At 35.7% G+C, this 22,312-nt stretch overlaps 1 long non-coding RNA gene across 2 annotated transcripts in view, besides 1 other annotated feature; it reads right to left on the bottom strand.

Annotated features, from left to right (window-relative positions):
* Window positions 1–22,312, bottom strand: part of LINC02699 (long intergenic non-protein coding RNA 2699) — a 470,852-nt gene that overhangs the window by 430,711 nt on the left and 17,829 nt on the right. The gene's annotated exons all lie outside the window — the stretch shown is intronic.
* Window positions 5,067–5,568: an enhancer, noted in NCBI's record as "NANOG hESC enhancer chr11:25509719-25510220 (GRCh37/hg19 assembly coordinates)". NCBI's record gives its function as "activates a minimal SCP1, AML or CMV promoter by ChIP-STARR-seq in primed H9 embryonic stem cells {active_cell/tissue: H9 hESC(primed)}" and the evidence as "EXISTENCE:reporter gene assay evidence [ECO:0000049][PMID:30033119]".

Here is a 22,312-nt window from a genome sequence, read left to right as displayed (position 1 = left end):
TTTTATTTTACAATAAATACTACCACTTTGTGAGATTTTAAAAAGTTATTGAAGAGGAAAATATAGTAGAAAAAAATCCTCTAATAAATATGGCTTTTGAAAGCAGACTTTGAAATAGTGCAAATATTCATTTATACCATACAGTCTACTCTAATTCATCTTTAAACTTTTCCCATAATGCTGTGCAGTTATGACTTTTGACTTGAACTTCACATGCATTTGCTATGCATTAATTTTAAACACTAATAATAAACTATTTGCATTTGAACTCTGTAAGGATCATAAAATGAATGTTTACTGATGAGTGTATGCCATGTTAATATATAAGGCTTAATATACTTTTATATATCTTACATTTATATTTTACAACAAAATATAGGCAAGTACATTCAACAGTGATTTAATCATTATTCTAAGCAATATAGACTCATAGTTGCTTCACTGTAGAAAAAAATTAATAAAATTTAAAATGTGATGAAGAGCATTTCTTCATGTGTCTTTTGGCTGCATAAATGTGTTCTTTTGAGAAGTGTCTGTTCATATCCTTCGCCCACTTTCTGATGGGGTTGTTTTTTCTTGTAAATTTGTTTGAGTTCATTGTAGATTCTGGATATTAGCCCTTTGTCAGATGAGTAGATTGCAAAAATTTTCTCCCATTCTGTAGGTTGCCTGTTCACTCTTATGGTAGTTTCTTTTGCTAATCATCACTGGCCATCAGAGAAATGCAAATCAAAACCACAATGAGATACCATCTCACAGCAGTTAGTAGGGCGATCATTAAAAAGTCAGGAAACAACAGGTGCTGGAGAGGATGTGGAGAAATAGGAACACTTTTACACTGTTGGTGGGACTATAAACTAGTTCAACCACTGTGGAAGTCAGTGTGGCGATTCCTCAGGGATCTAGAACTAGAAATACCATTTGACCCAGCCAGCCCATTACTGGGTATATACCCAAAGGATTATAAATCATGCTGCTATAAAGACACATGCACACGTATGTTTACTGTGGCACTATTCACAATAGCAAAGACTTGGAACCAACCCAAATGTCCAACAATGATAGACTGGATTAAGAAAATGTGGCACATATACACCATGGAATACTATGCAGCCATAAAAAATGATGAGTTCATGTCCTTTGTAGGGACATGGATGAAGCTAGAAACCATCATTCTCAGCAAACTATCACAAGAACAAAAAACCAAACACCGCATGTTCTCACTCATAGGTGGAAACTGAACAATGAGAACACATGGACACAGGAAGGGGAACATCACACACCGGGGTCTGTCGTGGGGTGGGGGGAGGGGGGAGGGATGGCATTAGGAGATATACCTAATGTTAAATGACGAGTTAGTGGGTGCAGCGCACCAACATGGCACATGTATACATATGTAAGTAACCTGCACGTTGTGTACATGTACCCTAAAACTTAAAGTATAATAAAAAAAAAATTTAAATGTAATATGTGATTACAATATAGAGATCATAAGTAAACATGCAAAGGATAGATGTCTTCATGTTACATGAATGGACTGCTATGGTTAAAATTAAAATTTCCAGTGACAACTTCTAAAATAAATTTAAAGATCAAAGAATTCAAGAACTGGTTTTTGAAAAAAAATTAATAAAATAGATCACGAGCTAGAATAATAAAGAAGAAAAGAGAAGATTCAAATAACAATCAGAAATGACAAGGGGGATATTATCATTGATCACAAAGAAATACAAATACCCATTAGAGAATATCAGGAACACCTCTATGCACATACACTAGAAAATCTAGAAGAAATGCATAATTCCTGGACAAATGCTCCCTCCCAAGACTGAGCCAGGAAAAAGTTGAAACTCTGAGCAGACCAATAATGAGCTCTGAAATTGAGGCAGCAATAAATAGCTTACCAATCAAAAAAAGCCCAGGACTCGGTGGATTGATAGCTGAATTCTGCTAGATGCATAAAGAAGAGCTGGTACTATTCCAACTGAAACTATGCCAAAAGTTTGAGGAGGAGGGATTCTATCCTAACTCAGTCTATGAGGCCAGCATCATACTGATAACAAAACCTGGTAGAGGTACAAAAACAAACAACAACAACAAAAAAAAAAAAAAAAAAGGAAAACTTCAGGCCATTATCCTTGATGAATATTGATGCAAAAATCCTCAACAAAATACGGGCACACTGAATCCAGCAGCTCATCAAAAAGCTTATCCACCACAATCAAATAGGCATTTTACCTGGGATGTAAGGTTGGTTCAACCTACACAAATTAATAATAAATGGAATTCATTACATAAACAAAACTAAAGACGAAAACCACATAATTATCGCAAAAGGTTCAGAAACAAATTTTGATAAAATCTGACACCCTTTAATGTTAAAAACTGTCAGTAAAGCATATATTGAAGGAAAATACCTGAAAATACCATCTGTGACAAACCCCCAGTCAACATCATATTCAACAGGCAAAAGCTGGAAGCATTTCCCTTGAAAACCAGAACAAGGCAAGGAAGCCCTCTCTCACCACTCCTATTCAACATAGTATTGGAAATCCTGGCCAGGGAAATCAGGCCATAGAAAAAAGAAAGGGCATCTAAATAGGAAGAGAGGAAGTCACACTATTCCTGTTTGCAAACAATATGATCCTATATCTAGAAATCCCCATAGTCTCAGCCAAAAGCTCCTTAAGTTCTTATCAAGAACTCCATCGAACTCTGAAGGATACAAAATCAATGTGCAAAAATGACTAATATTACTATACACCAACAACAGTCATTCTCAATATACATTTTATTACCCAATCTGCTCCCGACATTAAATAAAACTCCAAAAATTAAGTTCCGGCCCTAAAACCCCACAAAAGGACTTAATTAACCTCACCTTCAAGGTGTACAATAATAGAGTAGAGGCAGCCAAATAGCAACATATTTCTGAGTTGCAATTCCTTGCCTCCACTGTGAGACAAACCCCAGCCACATCTCCAGCACACAAGAACTTCCAAACGCCTAAACCGCAGTGACCAGGCGTTCCTCCAGGCCTGCCTCCCCCAGGAGCTTGCTACAAGTGCCAGAAATCTGGCCACCAGGCCAAGGAATGCCCGCAGCCCAGGATTCCTCCTAAGCCACGTCCCATCTGTGCGGGACCCCACTGGAAATCGGACTGTTCAACTCACCTGGCAGCCACTCCCAGAGCCCGTGGAACTCTGGCCCAAGGCTCTCTGACTCCTTCCCAGATCTTCTCAGCCTAGCAGCTGAAGACTGAGGCTGCCCAATCACCTTGGAAGCCCTGTAGACCATCACGGACACCGAGCTTTAGGTAACTCTCACAGTGGAGGGTAAGTCCGTCCCCTTCTTAATCAATACGGAGGCTACCCACTCCACATTACCTTCTTTTCAAGGGCCTGTTTCTCTTGCCTCCATAACTGTTGTGGGTATTGACGGCCAGGCTTCTAAACCTCTTAAAACTCCCCAACTCTGGTGCCAACTTAGACAATACTATTTTAAGCACTCCTTTTTAGTTATCCCCACCTGCTCAGTTCCCTTATTAGGCCGAGACACTTTAACTAAATTATCTGCTTCCCTGACTATTCCTGGACTACAGCTACATCTCATTGACACCCTTCTTCCCAATCCAAAGCCTCCTTTGTGTCCTCCTCTTGTATCCCCCCACCTTAACCCACAAGTATAGGATACCTCTACTCCCTCCTTGGTGACCAATCATGCACCCCTTACCATCTCATTAAAAACTAATCACCCTTACCCTACTCAACGCCAATATCCCATCCCACAGCATGCTTTAGAATTATTAAAGCCTGTTATCACTTGCCTGCTACAGCATGGCATTTTAAAGCCTATAAACTCTCCTTACAATTCCCCCATTTTACCTGTCCTAGAACCGACAAGCCTTACAGGTTAGTTCAGGATCTGCGCCTTATCAACCAAATTGTTCTGCCTATCCACCCCGTGGTGCCAAACCCATATACTCTCCTATCCTCCATACCTCCCTCCACAACCCATTATTCTGTTCTGGATCTCAAACATGCTTTCTTTACTATTCCTTTGCACCCTTCATCCCAGCCTCTCTTCGCTTTCACTTGGACTGACCCTGACACCCATCAGGCTCAGCAAATTACCTGGGCTGTACTGCCGCAAGACTTCACAGACAGCCCCCATTACTTCAATCAAGCCCAAATTTCTTCCTCATCTGTTACCTATCTCAGCGTAATTCTCATAAAAACACACGTGCTGTCCCTGCCAATCCTGTTCAGCTGATCTCTCAAACCCCAACACCTATAAAACAACAACTCCTTTCCTTCCTAGGCATGGTTGGATACTTTTGACTTCAGATACCTGGTTTTGCCATCCTAACAAAACCATTATATAAACTCACAAAAGGAAACCTAGCTGACCCCATAGATCCTAAATCCTTTCCCCATTCCTCTTTCTGTTCCTTGAAGACAGCTTTAGAGACTGCCCCCAACCTAGCTCTCCCTAACTCATCCCAACCCTTTTCATTACCCACAGCTGAAGTGCAGGGCTGTGCAGTCGGAATTCTTACACAAGAACCGGGACCGCGCCCTGTAACCTTTCTATCCAAACAACTTGACCTTACTGTTTTGCCTAGCCCTCAAGTCTGCGTGTGGCGGCTGTCACCACCCTAATACTTTTAGAGGCCCTTAAAATCACAAATTATGCTCAACTCACTCTCTCCAGTTCTCATAACTTCCAAAATCTATTTTCTTCCTCACACCTGACACATATACTGTCTGCTCCCCGGCTCCTTCAGCTGTACTCACTCTTTGTTGAGTCTCCCACAATTACCATTGTTCCTGGCCTGAACTTCAATCCGGCCTCCCACATTATTCCTGATACCACACCTGACCCCCATGACTGCATCTCTCTGATCCACCTGACATTCACCTCATTTCCCCATATTTCCTTCTTTCTTGTTCCTCCCCCTGATCACACTTGGTTTATTGACGGCAGTTCCACCAGGCCTAATCGCTGCTCACCAGCAAAGGCAGGCTATGCAATAGTGTCTTCCACATCTGTTATTGAGGCTACCGCTCTGCCCCCCTCCACTACCTCTCAGCAAGCCGAACTAGTTGCCTTAACTCAGGCCCTCACTCTTGCAAAAGGACTACACGTCAATATTTATACTGACTCTAAATATGCCTTCCATATTCTGCACCACCATGCAGTCATATGGGCTGAAAGAGGTTTCCTCACTACACAAGTGTCCTTCATCATTAATGCCTCTTTAATAAAAACTCTACTCAAGGCCGCTTTACTTCCAGAGGAAGCTGGGGTCATTCACTGTAAGGAGCATCAAAAGGCGTCAGATCCCATTGCTCTAGGCAATGCTTATGCTGATAAGGTTGCTAGACAAGCAGCTAGCATTCCAACTTGTGTCCCTCAAGGCCAGTTTTTCTCCTTCACATCGGTCACTCCCACCTACGCCCCCGCTGAAACTTCCACCTATCAATCTCTTCCCACACAAGGCAAATGGTTCTTAGACCAAGGAAAATATCTCCTTCCAGCCTCACAGGCCCATTCTATTCTGTTGTCATTTCATAACCTCTTCCATGCAGGTTACAAGCCGCTAGCCCGCCTCTTAGAACCTCTCATTTCCTTTCCATCATGGAAATCTATCCTCAAGAAAATCACTTCTCAGTGTTCCATCTGCTATTCTGCTACCCCTCAGGGATTATTCAGGCCTCCTCCCTTTCCTATACATCAAGCTGGGGGATTTGTCCCTGCCCAGGAGTGGCAAATTGACTTTACTCACATGCCCCGAGTCAGAAAACCAAAATATTTCTTAGTCTGGGTAGACACTTTCACTGGATGGGTAGAGGCCTTTCCTACAGGGTCTGAGAAGGCCATCGCCGTCATTTCTTCCCTTCTGTCAGACATAATTCCTCGGTTTGGCCTTCCCACCCCTATACAGTCTGATAACGAACCAGCCTTTATTAGTCAAATCAGCCAAGCATTTTTTCAGGCTCTTGGTATTCAGTGAAATCTTTATATCCCTTACAGTCCTCAGTCTTCAGGAAAGGTAGAATGGACTAAAGATCTTTTAAAAACACACCTCACCAAGCTCAGCCACCAACCTAAAAAGGACTAGACAATACTTTTACCACTTTCCCTTCTCAGAATTCCGGCCTGTCCTCAGAATGCTACAGGGTACAGCCCATTTAAGCTCCTGTATGGACGCTCCTTTTTATTAGGCCCAGTCTCATTCCAGACACCAGACCAACTTGGACTGTGTCCCAAAAAACTTGTCATCCCTATCTTTTGTCTAGTCACACTCCTATTCACCATTGTCAACTACTCATACATGCCCTGCTCTTGTTTACACTTCCAGTTTACACTGTTTCTCCAAGCCATCACAGCTGATATCTCCTGGTGCTAACCCCAAACTGCCACTCTTAACTCTTAAATAAATAATCTTTGCTGGCAGGACTATGCTGAATCTCCTTAGGCACTCTCTAATTAGATATCCTGGGTCCTCCCAATTCTTAGACCTTTAATACCTGTTTTTCTCCTTATTCCGTTTAGTTTTTCAATTCATACAAAACCATATCCAGGACATCACCAATAATTCTACATGACAAATGTTTCTTCTATCAACCCCACAATATCACCCCTTACCACAAAATCTTCCTTCAGCTTAATCTCTCCCACTCTAAGTTCCCACGCCGCCCCTAATCCCACTCGAAGCAGCCCTGAGAAACATTGCCCATTATCTCTCCATACCACCCCCCGAAATTTTCGCCGTCCCAACACTTTACCACTATTTCGTTTTATTTTTCTTATTAATATAAGAAGACAGGAATGTCAGGCCTCTGAGCCCAAGCTAAGCCATCATATCCCCTGTGCCCTGCATGTACACATCCAGATGGCCGGTTCCTGCCTTAACCTTTGACATTCCACCAAAAAGAAGTGAAAAATGGCCTGTTCCTGCCTTAACTGATAACATTATCTTGTGAAATTCCTTCTCCTGGCTCATCCTGGCTCAAAAGCTCCCCTACTGAGCACCTTGTGACCCCCACTCCTGCCTGCCAGAGAACAACCCCCCTTTGACTGTAATTTTCCTTTATCTACCAAATCCTATAAAACGGCCCCACCCTTATCTCCCTTTGCTGACTCTCTTTTCGGACTCAGCCCGCCTGCACCCACGTGAAATAAACAGTTTTATTGCTCACACAAAGCCTATTTGGTGGTCTCTTCACACGGACGCGAGTGAATGTTTAGCGATCCAAAGGAGACCTTGCCAAGTACAAGGTTGAGGAGTTAGATTTAAGTTAGCCCAATAATGCAGAAGACTGATAAAAAAAACAAACAAACAACAACAACAAAAAAAAAACCTATAGTGACAGCAGAAACATACATTTGAGGACAGAATTAAGAAATATTGCAAAGATTATCTTGATGAAGCTTAATGATGGCAAATAATGGGGAAAGAAGTGTATGAGGCCAAGGATGAGTATGAAATCCCTTATTAGTGTGAAATAGAAAGTAATCCAAGATTGCAACTGGAGGGTAATTGTTCAATTGTCTCTTCCATAACACTTGAGATTTTTATTCAGCAATTTAATTTTAAATATTTATTTTCCAAGCTTAGGCAAGGGCAGACAATCAAGGAATGCTTAGACAAGTTGTCAAATATGATTTTGTGGAAAAACGTGGCATAGAAGTGACATATGTTTTAGGTTATAATATTCCTATTCATTTAGGAGGAACAATCAGGGTAGTAACAGCACCCAAGTATAGATATATGTAGAACAGACTAGAAAATACCAACTCCCTTATTAACAGAACCAATTCTTTCACATTCCAAATGCCAGTGTTGAGTATCTACAAAGAAAAGATATCAGTTTGCTAACATCTCAGTCTCTACTCACCCTCAAATTTGAACTTCCTCCAAGAAGGATTCTGCTATAATACAACACAGAAGAAATTACATTTCAAGCATGACTTGTAAAATGAATCTCAAAAGGGAAATAAAATATAACAAAGCCCCTTTTTAGTTTGATTACAACTAGAAGGTGAAACAAGTGTCAAACATTAACAAATTAAATATTTGATTCTCCTTTGTTATGAAATTAATCATAGGGCAAGGTCAGCCAAATGCCCTTTGTGTTTGTACTACTTAATCTTTTTAGAGAAACAAGCAGATAAGGAAGACATTGTCAGATCTCCGGTAAACAGGAAACAGTAATTACGGGTTGATTGCCCCATCAAAGGAAGCAAAATGAAAATAAGTTTATTACATCCAAAGAACAAAATATAGCTTGCACCACAAACTTTAGTTACACACTGTGACTTGCAGGGGTTTCATGCAGATGAGTATCATCTCTTCTGAGTTGGCAGAGTTTCTAGAAATAGTATCTCATTATAAGAAATAGGTCTTGGTTAGGAAACAAACATCCAGATTTATCCCGTCAACAGTTAAGTCAATTGTAAATCACATAATGGGTGTGCAGACTGTCATGTGATAATGAGTAGAGAAGCAAAATAGCAAGAGTGGATAATATGTCAGTCATGGAACTCAGCAGAAATTGGAGATTTTGTCCCATTTCTATTACTTACTGCTGTGTGACATTGAGTTTGACCAGGTTTTATGCTGCCACAAACCTTAGATTCTCTAAATATAAATTAGAAATAAAATTCCTAGAAAAATTACATAAAGTAATATATCTTAAAGACTTACCACAGTGGTTAGAGCTTGTAATGAAGAATCAACAAAATGTAGCTGTCAGTGATGATGGAATACCGATTGTAGTTGTTTTGAGGTTTTTTCTTGTTAGAATTCCCTAGACTTATACACATTTATTATAGTCATTTGGCTTCCTGTAGAACTTACAATAAGAAGGAGACAATTTGACTTACAAAATTACTTACAGATTTTATATGTCTGGCACTCAATACACCACTAAAGCAAATAAAATGCAATACAAATTTGATTTAGAAAATAGTTTTACAAAAATTGTGTAAGCTAAAAATTTAATTCTATATGTATATTTTAAAATCCATTATTTATTTTTCTTACCTAGCATTGCAATAATCCTTGCATCAATAAAATAAATACAGAATGGATAAATTTTGAATGAAATGACACAGGGTATGGGGATTAAGAAGTACAAGGGAGTGGTTTGATTTAATTAAGGGGTCAGGGAAAGTCTCACTGATGGGGCGACAACTGAGTATACAGACATAAATAAATCAAAGAAAAACCTTCTGGTAGGAGGAACTGCAAGCGCAAAGGCTCCAAGGAAAAGCATCTTGAAGCAATCAACAAGGATCAAGAAGGCCAATGTTACTGGAGCCCCATGAGCCAAATAGAGTGATACAATGCCATGTGATGAGTTTAAACTTCAGAATTAGAACACGTAAAAGCAAATAAATTACATGCTTTCATTTTTAATTTTTCTTCAGTTATTATATCCCTATTAAATATTTCAGTTATTATCTTAATCCAGAAATATATTACTTCAGAAGAGTACTTTTTGATGTTGAAATTAAAGTCACTTTTAGAATATTTTCTTAAGCTTAACATTCACAAAATAGCAACTTTTCTACTGAATTCCAACCTAGCTGTACTTTCTTATCTTCCTTGTAGATGCAGAAGGGCCTGAGGCCAACACTGTGATTTAGTTAATAAATGGTCTGAGTTCAGTTTTTCTGCTATCTTCTGCATTAGCTAGTACACTACGAATTACCATCTTTTAATTTCAGTAGGTTTTTGGGAAGCAAGTTGTATTTGGAAATAAGGATAAGTTATTTAGTAATGATTTCTGAGATTTTGGTGCACCCATCACACGATCCTTGTACACTATACTCAATGTGTACTTATCCTTCACCCCCACTTCACCCTTCCTCCTGAGTACACAAAGTCCATTGTATAATTCTTATACCTTTGCATCCTCATAGCTTAGCTCCCACTTGTAAGTGAGAAGATAAAATGCTTGTTCAATTTGGTTTTCATTCCTGAGTTAATTAATTAATTTTTTTTAATTTTAATTTTTTAAAGTTTATAACTAATTTATTTAGAATAATGGTCTCCAACTCCATCCAGGTTGCTGTAAATGACATTATTTCATTTCTTTTTATGGTTGAGTGGTATTCTGTGGTATATTCATATACCATATTTTCTTTATCCACTCGTTGATTGATGGGCATTTGGGCTGACACATATTTTTGCAATTGTGAATTGTGCTGCTATAAACATGTGTGTAAATATCTTTTTCATATACTGACTTATTTTCCTCTGGGTAAATACCCAGTAGTAAGACTGCTGGATCAAATGGTAGATTTATTTTTAGTTCTTTAAGGAATTGCCATACTGTTTTCCATAGTGGCTGTATGAGTTTACATCCTCACCAGCAGTGTAAAAGTGTTCCCTTTCATCACATCCATGCCAACATCTACTATTTTAGGATTTTTAAATTATGGACATTTTTTTGCAGGAGTACGGTGGTATCACATTATGGTTTTGATTTGCATTTCTCTGATAATTAGTCATATTGATAATTTTTTGTATTTTTTTTTGTTCATTTGTATATCTTATTTTGAGAATTGTCTATTCATGTCCTTAGCCCACTTTTTGATGGAATTATTTGTTTTTTTCTTGTTGACTTCTTTGAGTTCTTTGTAGATTCTGGATTAGTCCTTTGTTGGATACATAGTTTGCAAAGATTTTCTCCCACTCTGTGGGTTGTCTGTTTACTCTGCTGATTATTTCTTTTGCTGTGCAAAAGCTTTTTAGTTTAGTTAAGTTTCATCTATTTCTCTTTGTTTTTTGTTGCATTTGCTTTTGGTTTCTTGGTCGTGAAGTCTTTGCCTAAGCCAATATCTAAAAGGATTTTTCTGATGTTATCATCTAGAATTTTTATTATTTCAGCTCTTCGATTTAAGTCTTTGATCCATCTTGAGTTGATTTTTGAATAAAGTGACAGATGAGGATACAGTTTCATTCTTCTACATGTGGCTTGCCAATTATCCCAGCACCACTTGGGCAGCTTTTATGCTCAGAATGAAAGAAGAAATAAGCCATTAAGTTACCATGCTGGGGATCCCCAGATCACCTCAAGATTTGATGATTTACTAGGGGCCCTACAGGATTCAGCATATAGTCTTATTTGTGGTTGATTTATTATAGTGAAAGAATACAAAGCAATATCAGGGAAAGAAAAAGTGCAAGGCAACCAAGCATAATCTTACAAGAGCCGTAAGAGTCCTCCTTCAGTGTCGTCACACAGGATGCACTACTCACTTAATTCCTCCAGCAATGAGTTATGAAAACACAAGATTTTGTGTCTTCTATAATTTCTTTCAGCAGTGTTTTGTAGTTTTTCTTCTAACAGTCTTTCATCTCCTTGTTTATGTGTATTCCCAAATATTTTATTTTTGAGTTGTCTTGTCTACCAATGAAGCTCATTCGAGACTCAGTGCTCAGGATTTATATTCGGGATCCCTTACAAATAACCCTCTGCTTAGCAGGTAGCAAAATTCCAGACTCCTAAAAGGAAAGCAGATATTCAGCAAAAGCCATATTGTTTTGCATAAACTTTTTAGGCAGACTGAGCCACTCTGATCTGTAAGGACACTGTGGGAATTCTCCTGAAATTTAAGTTTCCAGATGCCAATCAATGGCCAGCCTTTAAAGCAGGCCTAAGGTTAACTGCTGTGCTAATTCTCATGTATGGTTGTCAATCTGAAAATCTGATGACAACCTGGCAAGATATGTAAAAGTTAGCCCACGAGTGGTGAGAAAAGCAACTGTACTATAACACTGGCTGAAAAACTGCCAGTTTTGCAAGTGATATAACTTCTTTAATAGGTAGCTCTAAGTACCTTGCTTCTGGCTTCTTCATAGCACATTCGGATAACTAGAGAGAGTTCATATAAAGAGAGAATCAGTACATTGTCCAACCTAAGAGGGTAATACTTACAGAAGTAGCACAGGGCAGCAGCTCTTAAATTTTAGAATACTTAGGTTTGGATAAAGAGTATTATATAAATGCAAAGTCCTGAGCTCTAGCACCAGAAATACACTTTGGTAACTTCAGGATGTGTCCTAAGGATGTATATTGTTTTTGTAACTCTAATCTCACGTTAGTCTGATTCGGTATGTTGCTAACTCAACACTGGCTTCCTCATTAGGAGTACTGGCTCTACTTTCACATGATCTTGGGAAAATCACTGAAACTCTTGAACTGAACATGTTCATAATCTTGTTAAGCTGTACAATTACTTAAAAGTAACAACTACATATGCTTGTTTCAATCTTTATATCATTCTTTTTAGGATGTTATGGCTCCTTTCTTTTTGATGTTGTATTCAGTATGAATCACTTTATGTTCACCTTTAAGTAGTGATTCTCTTGAGTACTTGCTGGTGATTTGGAGGAGACAAATAAAACTCCAGCACTCATGAATTCTTAAAATGCTAGATATTTTCCGAGTGGCTTGCTGAAGGTCACAACGCTAATACCTCTGAAAGTGGCAGCGCCATGGCCCGAGCCTAAGGCCTTGCTATTCTAGTTTCAGAGTGATGCCTACCTCACTGTCATGACAGAGAAGTATTGAAGCTAGTGAGAAAGTGAGTTGTTAGTTAAATTATTCAACCAATATTTGTTGAACAACTAATTTGTGTCAGACCTCTGTGGACATGGCAATGAACAAAACAAAGCTCCTGCTCTTATGGAGCACAATACATTTTAGAGATGAGAGTTTTTGTAAATAAATACACAACTATACATATGTATCTCTGTGTGTGTATACATATGTATATAATGTCAGGTAGGTATTACTATAAAGACAAATAAAGCAAGTTAAGTGTATAAGTTAAGTATATAACAAATGGTGACAGTGGGGTGCGGGAGTTAGTGGTGCTCTTTTGCATAGAGCTATTCTCACAAAATATAAAGTGTTACCTGAGTACAGAGTAGAAAGAGTGAGATAAATAAACATTCAGAGTAAGAAGTTTTAAGAAAGATAGAATATTAAAAGCAAAGGTCCTAAGGCAGAGAATTCCAAGCAAATTCAAGAAACAGAAGAGAGGCCAGTATAAGCAGAGGGAGCCATAAAAAGAATGGAATCAGGCGAGGCCCCAGAAAGGTGGGCAGGTCTAAGAGGGCCTAGTAGGCCAAGGCAAAAATCTTTTGTATTAAAACATTTAATCAATTTCAATCAAATTCTCAGTGAGATGGGAAGCCATTGGAAGTTTTAACAAGAACAGTATCATGACCTGACTTGGAATTTAAAAGAGTTATTATGGGTACTGGCCCGTAAATACCTTGAAAAGTCAGGATTGTAAGTGCAGTTTTAACATAGCAGGTTACTTGAGTAGTTCAAGAAGTGTAAAGCTTTTTATTTTAGGAGATTGATGGGATTTCTAAATTCTAAACATTCAAATGAAATTTCATTTTTAAAAATGTTCATTCACATGAGGAAGAAGTCCATTTACATGTGTTCCTTTAAAAAACGGTGCAGGGATAGACAAAGATTTCAAAGGCTTTATAACCTCAAAGTAGTAACAAAAAAATTAAAAGAAAAGTTAATGGTTTAATTTCCCAAATAAGAAAATAAAATATCAATTCAAAATTCATGAATGTGAGTTGAATTTTTTCTACCATAAAATATAAATTATAGCTATTTTGATTATGGCTTTATTAATATTTTAAATATCCCAGTTATTATTGCATAGAAGTCTTCATAAGAATTTAGAATCTAGAAAAGTCAAGAGATGATCCGAAATATGTACTTTTATATTTGTATATAAACATCAAATTGAACCTAAAACTTCAGAACAGTGCTTACATGCTTACTTAGTTAAAAAATAATCTTTCTTTTTATTGCAATTATGGACTAAGATCTCTCTCATTAAAATTTATATCCCTTAGTTATGAAAAATATATATATTATCATTTTCTCTCCAATATCACTCACTAAGTAGGAAAAAAGTTGTAGAACAGAGCAAAATTTTATAATAATTCTTAAAATACAAGTAATCAAAATTATAGTTTGTATTAGACTTTGTTATTTACAACACAGACAGAAATAAGTGTGTATAAATAATTATGCGATCAAACAAATAAATAAATGAAGATTCATTTGATGCCACAGGTGTAGGTATTTTACAAGGTTAATCACAATAGCTTCAATTCATTCACCTTATGCAATATGAGTACAACACATAATTATATAAGGTAAATTTTTTGCAAATAATAGTAGGAGTTATGAACATTTACAGAATATTCTTAATGCATGAAAGCTTGTATATTATACATATATTCATAGATGTCTTTTACACATATGTAAATGTGATCATTTTGTGTATAAGGACATAAAATATGTGCATTTATGCGTAAACACTAAATGATTTATAGTCATAGGTGGATGAATATTACATCCTTGTGCAAAATTTCACATTTATAATTATGTTTCCATTCACATGTGTATGCATGTATACATACATGTTACATAACCACATATATAGCAATAGCTAATATCTTTATTGAAGGTTTACTATGATCCAAGTGTTCTACTCAAATTATCTTGTCTAATATTCAAGTAGATGCCTGCTATAATTGCTAAATAGGCATTTTATTATTCTCAATTTAAAAATTACCAAACTGAGGCATATAATGGTTAAATAAGGTGTTTAAGGTTGTGTAGTTGATGAGTAGTTGAACTGAAAATCCCCAAGAAATCTGATTCTAATGCCTTTGCTTATAATCATTATGTTTTACCACTTCTGGTGTGTATATGTATCTCCTACATGTTTGGATCTAAGTATGCATGTAAGTCACTATTGGATAAGCTGACTTGAGGAATCTTGCTGAGGAGTTTATTTCAAGATGGCAAATAGAGACCCATGCTCAGGAAGATTTCCAAGGCCCTCTGATAGAAGCTACTACCACACATAGCATCCTTTTGTCCAAAGAAGGTACTTAAGACAACTTTAAAGCAAGGGTATTAGTAAGCTACATCATTTATGCATACTTAGGAAACAACTGGAGATGTTATATGATATGGAATAGAGATAAATAAAAACTCAATTGGTTACCTAGTTGTAATGGACATTATATAACACACACTAGACCTCAGGTTAAAGCCAAGAGACCTTGGTGGGTTACACCATGAAAGAGGCAGTGTTGTGTTCTTAAAATTATTGAAATACACTGGACTACCATTAACTGAAATTTCAAATAAAGCACACAAACAGGCAAAATTTTAATGCATTGTTGGTTTTATATAAACAAAGTACTGTGTTTACTCTAAGCAGACATTGGTTTCAAATGTATCATCATTTTTAAAAAATAGATCATATCCAAAAATATCTGAGGTTAATTGCAATCAGAAGAACATTCCCTTTATTGTTATTGGAGGAAAATGAAATATTTTACTTTCCTTAACATTGTATCTAAGTTATTATCTCTATAATAATACACTACAATAATACACTACAGTAATACTCTGTAATAATACAATAATTTTTTTAGTAGTCAGATATGTAAGTCATTTGACATATTTCCTTCATTTGCATCCAACTAAACAATACTTTAGTTATTATCAGGATAATGTATAAAATTCCTCTAGCTCTGTGTGTGTTTACTAATCTCTTTGAGCATCCAATAAATAGCCGCAAATGTAACTCCCCAACCGCAAGCACATGTGAGGCAGATTGGGTATCTGAATCAAATGGCAGCTTTGGTAGCTGGGGAAAGCCTGCATTGATATATGAGGCAACGGTAAGCACATTGGGGCTTCAAACACCAATAGGGAGTTATCTAGTGCTTTTTAGAATAACTGTTTATTTAATTTTGGCAGTAGTTTAAACGGAAATAAAATCCCAGTAAACAAACAACATATTTGACACAGGTGTGTACATTTTGATGGATTATATTATAAGGCTAATATGTACATATGGATATATGTATACATACCTGACAGGGATGTACAGATACAGGCACACACATTTGACTAGTGTATGTGCCAACACATATGAATGTACACATTCAAATGCCATAAGTCACAAATGAAAGTAGAAACAGTTACATGCCTATAAGAATGTACACAATGGGACTATAATGAGAAATATACACTCCCAAAAGAAGGCACATGTTAGTATAAATATGTTACAGCTAATTAATGAAATGTCAACGAATAAATCAAATGCTTTCTAAAGTATGTGAAATTTATTTAGGAACTCAAGCACTGAAAAGCCTCGAAATTTTTCTTCCCCCAAAATGTAATAATCAAAGAGGAATGACAGGCAGTAAGCATAATATTGTGATGTAAAAATATCTGTCCTAAGTCTTCATTCAAAGGAATACTCTGTGTCTCCAAAACAAGAGTTAATAGATTTCTACCATTATCCAGATTTCCCAAAACTACAATAAGTTCTTTGTCTCCTTATTCTGTGCATTGAAGTTAATCTGAAAATGCATAATGAACTTCTCAATTTATGATGAGAAGGCTAACTTCTGAGAAGATAAATTTTTTCAATGTTTCTAGAATTTATTTTCATAAACTATTTCACATTCCTAGACATAGCTGTTCTCAAATTTTGTTCATTCAAATAAGATAAAGTAATGAAGCCACACCCTGCACTACAATGTGAAAAACCTAAAAACCAAACAAAAAAAAACAAACAAAAAAAACTACATTTTCTTTCTGTCATAACCTTGCCATCTTTTAAATATTATCTTGGCCAATGTTTTCTAAAGCATCTACATAGTCCTTGTATTATATGACAGATCTCAAATCAAGTTAAATATTTTATCTCATATTAACAAGAGTCTCTAGCAAAATTTATTTCAGGGATTATAAATAAATATTAAGGGATTGCTGATCTATTATCTACTGCTCCATTTATCAACATTTCTTCTACACTTTTGTCACTGTTTCTCAAAAGGAACATGTCCTCTGGCTCTAGGTATACAGTCTAGAGAACACTTGTTTATGCTAGAAATGTGACATCCATGTAACATGGGATCTGGGTAACAATGATGTACTGGTGTATAGATGCAGATGGCTGTTCCAATAAAGGACATGAATGGCAGCTTTGGAGAGTTTCTGCCTAAACATTCCTGTAATGTGGGGGACCAAGACTGAAAAAACTCTTCAAAAAGATTATCTGAAATTTATAGAACAGATTCTTGTTATCTTGAATTTACTGCTGCTTTAATGAGGGATAAGAGGAGAACCTAGTCAGAAGTATAACCCCTAGATTCAGTTTATCTATGAGCAGGACCAAACTGCCAAATATATTTCACTAGACTTATGTGTTAATCTGTCCTTGTGTTGCTATGCAGAAGCACCTGAGACTGGGCAATTTATAAAGAAAAGAGGTTTAATTTGGCTCATGGTTTTACAGGTTGTGCAGGCACGGCACCAACATCTGCTTGAGTATACCAAAGATGATTATCTTTGATCAAAACTACATATCATACCCCAACGTGTAAACTGTATAATACATGAGATAAAAGAGAAGACATTGGGATTAAATTTGGTGGAGGAAGAGTTTGGAGAGTCCAGGGCTATATTCTTTACCTCCTTCACCTCCTTGGGTGAGGTAGAATGAGGGGTAGACATAAAACAAACTAAATTCCCTGATTTCCTTTCAAGGACCTGTAGAGATAGTTAAGCATCTCACTTCAATACAGTGAAAAACTGAAATCAAAGAGACAAATAAGCCTAGAAATATTTGCTCTTAAAGAATCAAGTATTTTTAGGAGCTGACAAGAGATCTTTGGAAGCTAGAAGAAACTGAATCAAGAGATCCAATATTTTACATTTCTCACTTCATCTGGAAACTCTAAGTATTAGCTATAAAATTGGTTCTCCTTCTCTTGCTCTTTGTCTCTAGCTGTGCTATGAAAAATAGATAATAAATGACACTACCTATTAAGGTTTTACATTTTAAAAAGCTATTTAGTAATAGCTTTCCAATACTTCAAGTCACTAAACATTTTGCCATGTCCTTATAGAAAGCTGTTATTACAAATTTTAAGGTCACCTATTGGTTATAGCTTTTATGAATATTTAACATTCTTTTATAAACAAGGTTTTAGCTCACTCTTACAGATTCCTATTTCTTACACCTGAAAGTCATTTTGAGACTGTTTAGGTGGGACATAACCTGCCAGTTACACTATTATAAATATCTTCACATGCTGTAGTAGATCCATTTTGTAAAACCAAGGATTTTTCCATGCTCTTTGTATTTCTAAAATGTGTCTACTCGTAAAAGATGAATATACAGAAAAACTCACTGCTTCATTTAATCCATTAACTTGAACCCACAAGTTAAAGTTACTGCTGAAACCATCAATCAAGTATTTATTCAAATGCCAATTTCCTTAAATGGCTTCCTGGGAGCCATTTTCAGAATGATCACCAGTGCATTTATTTGATTAGTCTTGGTCATATCAAGACTCCAATTTTTAGTGTTCATTAAAGCCATTTAATGATTATTTTTAAAATATGTTGATGGTCAAAAATTATGAATGTAAGTTTATTGGTTCTATATGAATGTTTGTCTTTCATCAACTGGTCCTTTACTTAAAATTATTTTTTAAACATAGCATGTTATCTTTTTGTATTGGTTTTCTAGAACCCTTACCCCTAGCCAATATTATATTTCACTTATACAAAAGATCATGTTAAGCATTTCTAACAAGTCAACAATTTTCATCACTTGGCATAATCTTATGATATATACATAAGAAGATTTTCTATAGAATTCTAAATACTCTAATTGAGACATTTATATAGATTTTTTCTACTAAATATTAGCAGTAATGAATTATTTAGGCAAATAAATTATCTAATGACTTTTCTTAATATTCTATGAGTTTAGTCCAAGATATTAAGAATAGAAATAAAATCCACAATAAACAATACACTCAAACTAGCACAAAATCCAGACCTGAGGAAAGTGAATGTAAATGGTTGATGTAAACCATTTATGGGATGGTTGCAAGTTTGATTCTAGCAATGCTGAAGATCCCCAGCATTTCATAATACTCAAAGTGATTTCAACAGCTGTATTATAGAAGGACTAGAAAAACAGAATGAAATCGAAACGGTAACTGTTATATAACATTTGGGTCCAAAACAGACCAATTTATAATTGGCAAGTTATTGAAAAAGCCTATATAGTCTTTATGAAATTATGACTTTGTATATCCATTCCAAGTAGACTGTCATTGAAGCATCATAACTGTTAACTTTTAGGAAAAATAGACAACTTTTTAAAGATACATATATTTTTTAAAATTACATGATTGTACCCCGAGATTATGGTCTGAAAGAGTATGAAGGAACTAGCAACTGAGTGAATTTAACTCAGCTTCTGGTTTTATTATCTACTTATTATTTATTATAGTTTTTTCTCTATTTCTTGTTTTTAAAAGCTGTTCAACTGTTTTCTGTCAGTAAACGTGTATATGTGTGTGCATCTCACTTTCAGATCAAGGATGCATGTGGAATTTCTTTTCAAAAAGTTGATAAAAAATAGAAGCATCAAAATAAATATAATTTAATAAATTTAAGTCTAGATCTCTAACATAATTCAGCAATTAATTTATAGCAACAAATTATAAAAAATAAAAATGTAAAACAAGACAAAATTTTAATACCTAAATCTCATATATTTCTAGTTATGAAAATGCCAAAAATATTGTGTTTAAAAATATAAAATATTTTAGTAACTATTATGAGAAGAATCTAGACAAGCGTTTCAACTCTGATTCATCTAAACAAAGGGATCAGGAATGTTTTATGGAAAAATGATAAAAGGGGATTTTGTCTAACACATGATAGGGATACTTGAAGTTCAGAAATAATGAATTGCTTTTTTAAAATTTTGTGTGTGGGGCGTTCTTAATATTTTCACATTTCTCATCTCTCCAAATCTTCTACTTATCTATTTTGTTTTTTAAGAAATGTGTGCAAGCTTTGTCTAGTTGTGTATTTTGCCAGGGCAGTGGGCGGGGGGTGTCGCACAGGGGAAAGGCACTTCTCTGGCTCTCGAACTTTTAGGCGCTTCATACAAATAAACAAAGCCAAGTTATAAGCCTAATGCCAGGCACAGTATCTGGAAGATTCCAGGTGCATAAATGTGACTTGCTCTAGCTTTACATCTCCTGCTAGAAAAAGAATCTGCTCTAGGATCTAGGGAATACGTTCTGACATAATCAAAACTGAAAACAGCTCACGGCAGTGGGGTTGTTTGGGTAGTTTTATTTGTGCTTCATTCAACAGGTCCTGTAAAGTACAAATTGAGAATAGACTAGCAAATTTAAATTGAAGGGATGAAGGAGAATAAAAAGTGCCATCACTTTAATATATATGAGGGCCACAATGGAGAAAGAATCAGAAATCTGAGATATCCACAAGGTCAAATATTCAGAGTGGCTTTTAATCAATATTAAAATACTCAGTTACTACAAACGAGTCAAATTCTACTGGAAATTCCTCCTCCATGATAAGAAAAATATTCTTAATGTAAAAGAATTAGAAAAACATTGAATTCTAAATTTGTTTAGACATTAAGATTATTAAAAAATGACAATCATTTCTACAGTTTCAGGTACATCAATAATGGAAACCACAAGTAATTTAAAAAATAGTAATCAATCTATCTAGCAAAAACCTCAATATCCTATAAGATATAACATCAATCCAGCAAACTAAGATACAATATTCTGTTCATTAGGAAATCTCACATTATGTATTAACTTCAGTATTTTTCAATAAGGTTGACTGCTTTTAGTCTAAAAGCATACCAGATGTTCATTATTTGAACACACATTTTATTATGAACCATATGTAATTCAGAATCTCAATGAAGTTTGAGTTACAGTACTTGATAACTGTCAAATACAACAAAGGCAGATATTGTGTGAAAAATTTCCTGAATCTATTCTTTACCCTGAAATCCTTCTGTTGTAGCACATCTCATGAAACCACAATCTTGAAAAAGAAATTTACAGATATGCTGTAGGGTGGGTTCTTTCATTAATGTAATCATAGATGATTATGAGGATAAAATCCTTTGATCTTCCAAACAAACATCTTTTATTGAATATGAAAATTAAAGAAAATAATTGATAGGTGTATTTCAGCACCAACCTTGTCTAACATCTCAATCTTATTGTGATAAGGGGTATTACAATTTAAAAATACCTTTGAATTTCCTTTCTCTGTGTTCCTCAAACACTATGGAAACTTAGCAAAATAGTATTCATAAAATGAGTTCTACTCAGGAAGAAAACAAGTGATAAGTCTAATATGATCATAACTTGCTAGTATCATGTCTTAACTATTTCATCAAGTTAAGTAGCTACTATTGAAGCAAACTGTCACTTAGAACGCAAAGGGGATGTCAATTCTCTGTGGAATTTTCTCTCTCTGCCTCACTCACTTGGTAAATATCACCCAGCCTGCCTTTGTGAAAAATAACGAACCACCAAAAAAGCTCAGAGGATTTTACATGTGAAAATCAAGAAGAAATTGCCCCTTTTCCTACATGATGAAAAAAAGGTAGCATTGTAATAGCTAAAAATAGAACATAGCTCCAGAATTTGCCCCAGAAATTACCCCAGAAACAACAGCATACAACCCAGGGAAGAAACTTTTGTGCCCACAAGTGACAAAACAGGGTGAGAGTGGAAACCTTAGCATTACCAGAAGGCTAAAATGGCATTGCATATGCTCAGATACTAAATTGTCATTGGAAATAAAGCCCAAAATAGTAGGCTAGATTCCACATACTAAACCTAATCAAGGCAACTGTGTGCAAAAATAGAAGACTTTAGTACTAGAAGATTCCCAACACAATAACTCACATTTCTGGGATTCCAGAGAAACTTACCCTTAATACCAAAAACCAGGAAAATTCCAATTTGAATAAGAAAAGACAACCAAGTAATGCCAATAATAAGATGAATCAGAAGTTAAAATTTCCTGACAAAGATTTTAACTGTCATAAACATGCTTCAAACATCAATTAAAAATCACCTTGAAATAATAAAATTATTAAGTCTCAGAGGTTGATTATAAAAAAGTTATAAAGAATATGTCATACAAAAAACAAGATTAAAAATTACATGATCATGTAATATGACAAAATTCAATACACACATGATTATAGTGTATACATATATGTGTGTGAGTATATATATGATATATATGATATATCATATGGGATATATTATTATATGTACTCACATGAGAAAACTAAGCATAGAGAAGAACTTCCTCCACTTGATAAAGAATAGCTGCAAAGAACCCTAGAG

The sequence above is a fragment of the Homo sapiens genome, chromosome 11 (genome assembly GCF_000001405.40).
Source record: "Homo sapiens chromosome 11, GRCh38.p14 Primary Assembly".
In the NCBI taxonomy this organism is placed as follows: Eukaryota; Metazoa; Chordata; class Mammalia; order Primates; family Hominidae; genus Homo; species Homo sapiens.
This window is presented reverse-complemented; position numbering and strand designations above follow the sequence as displayed.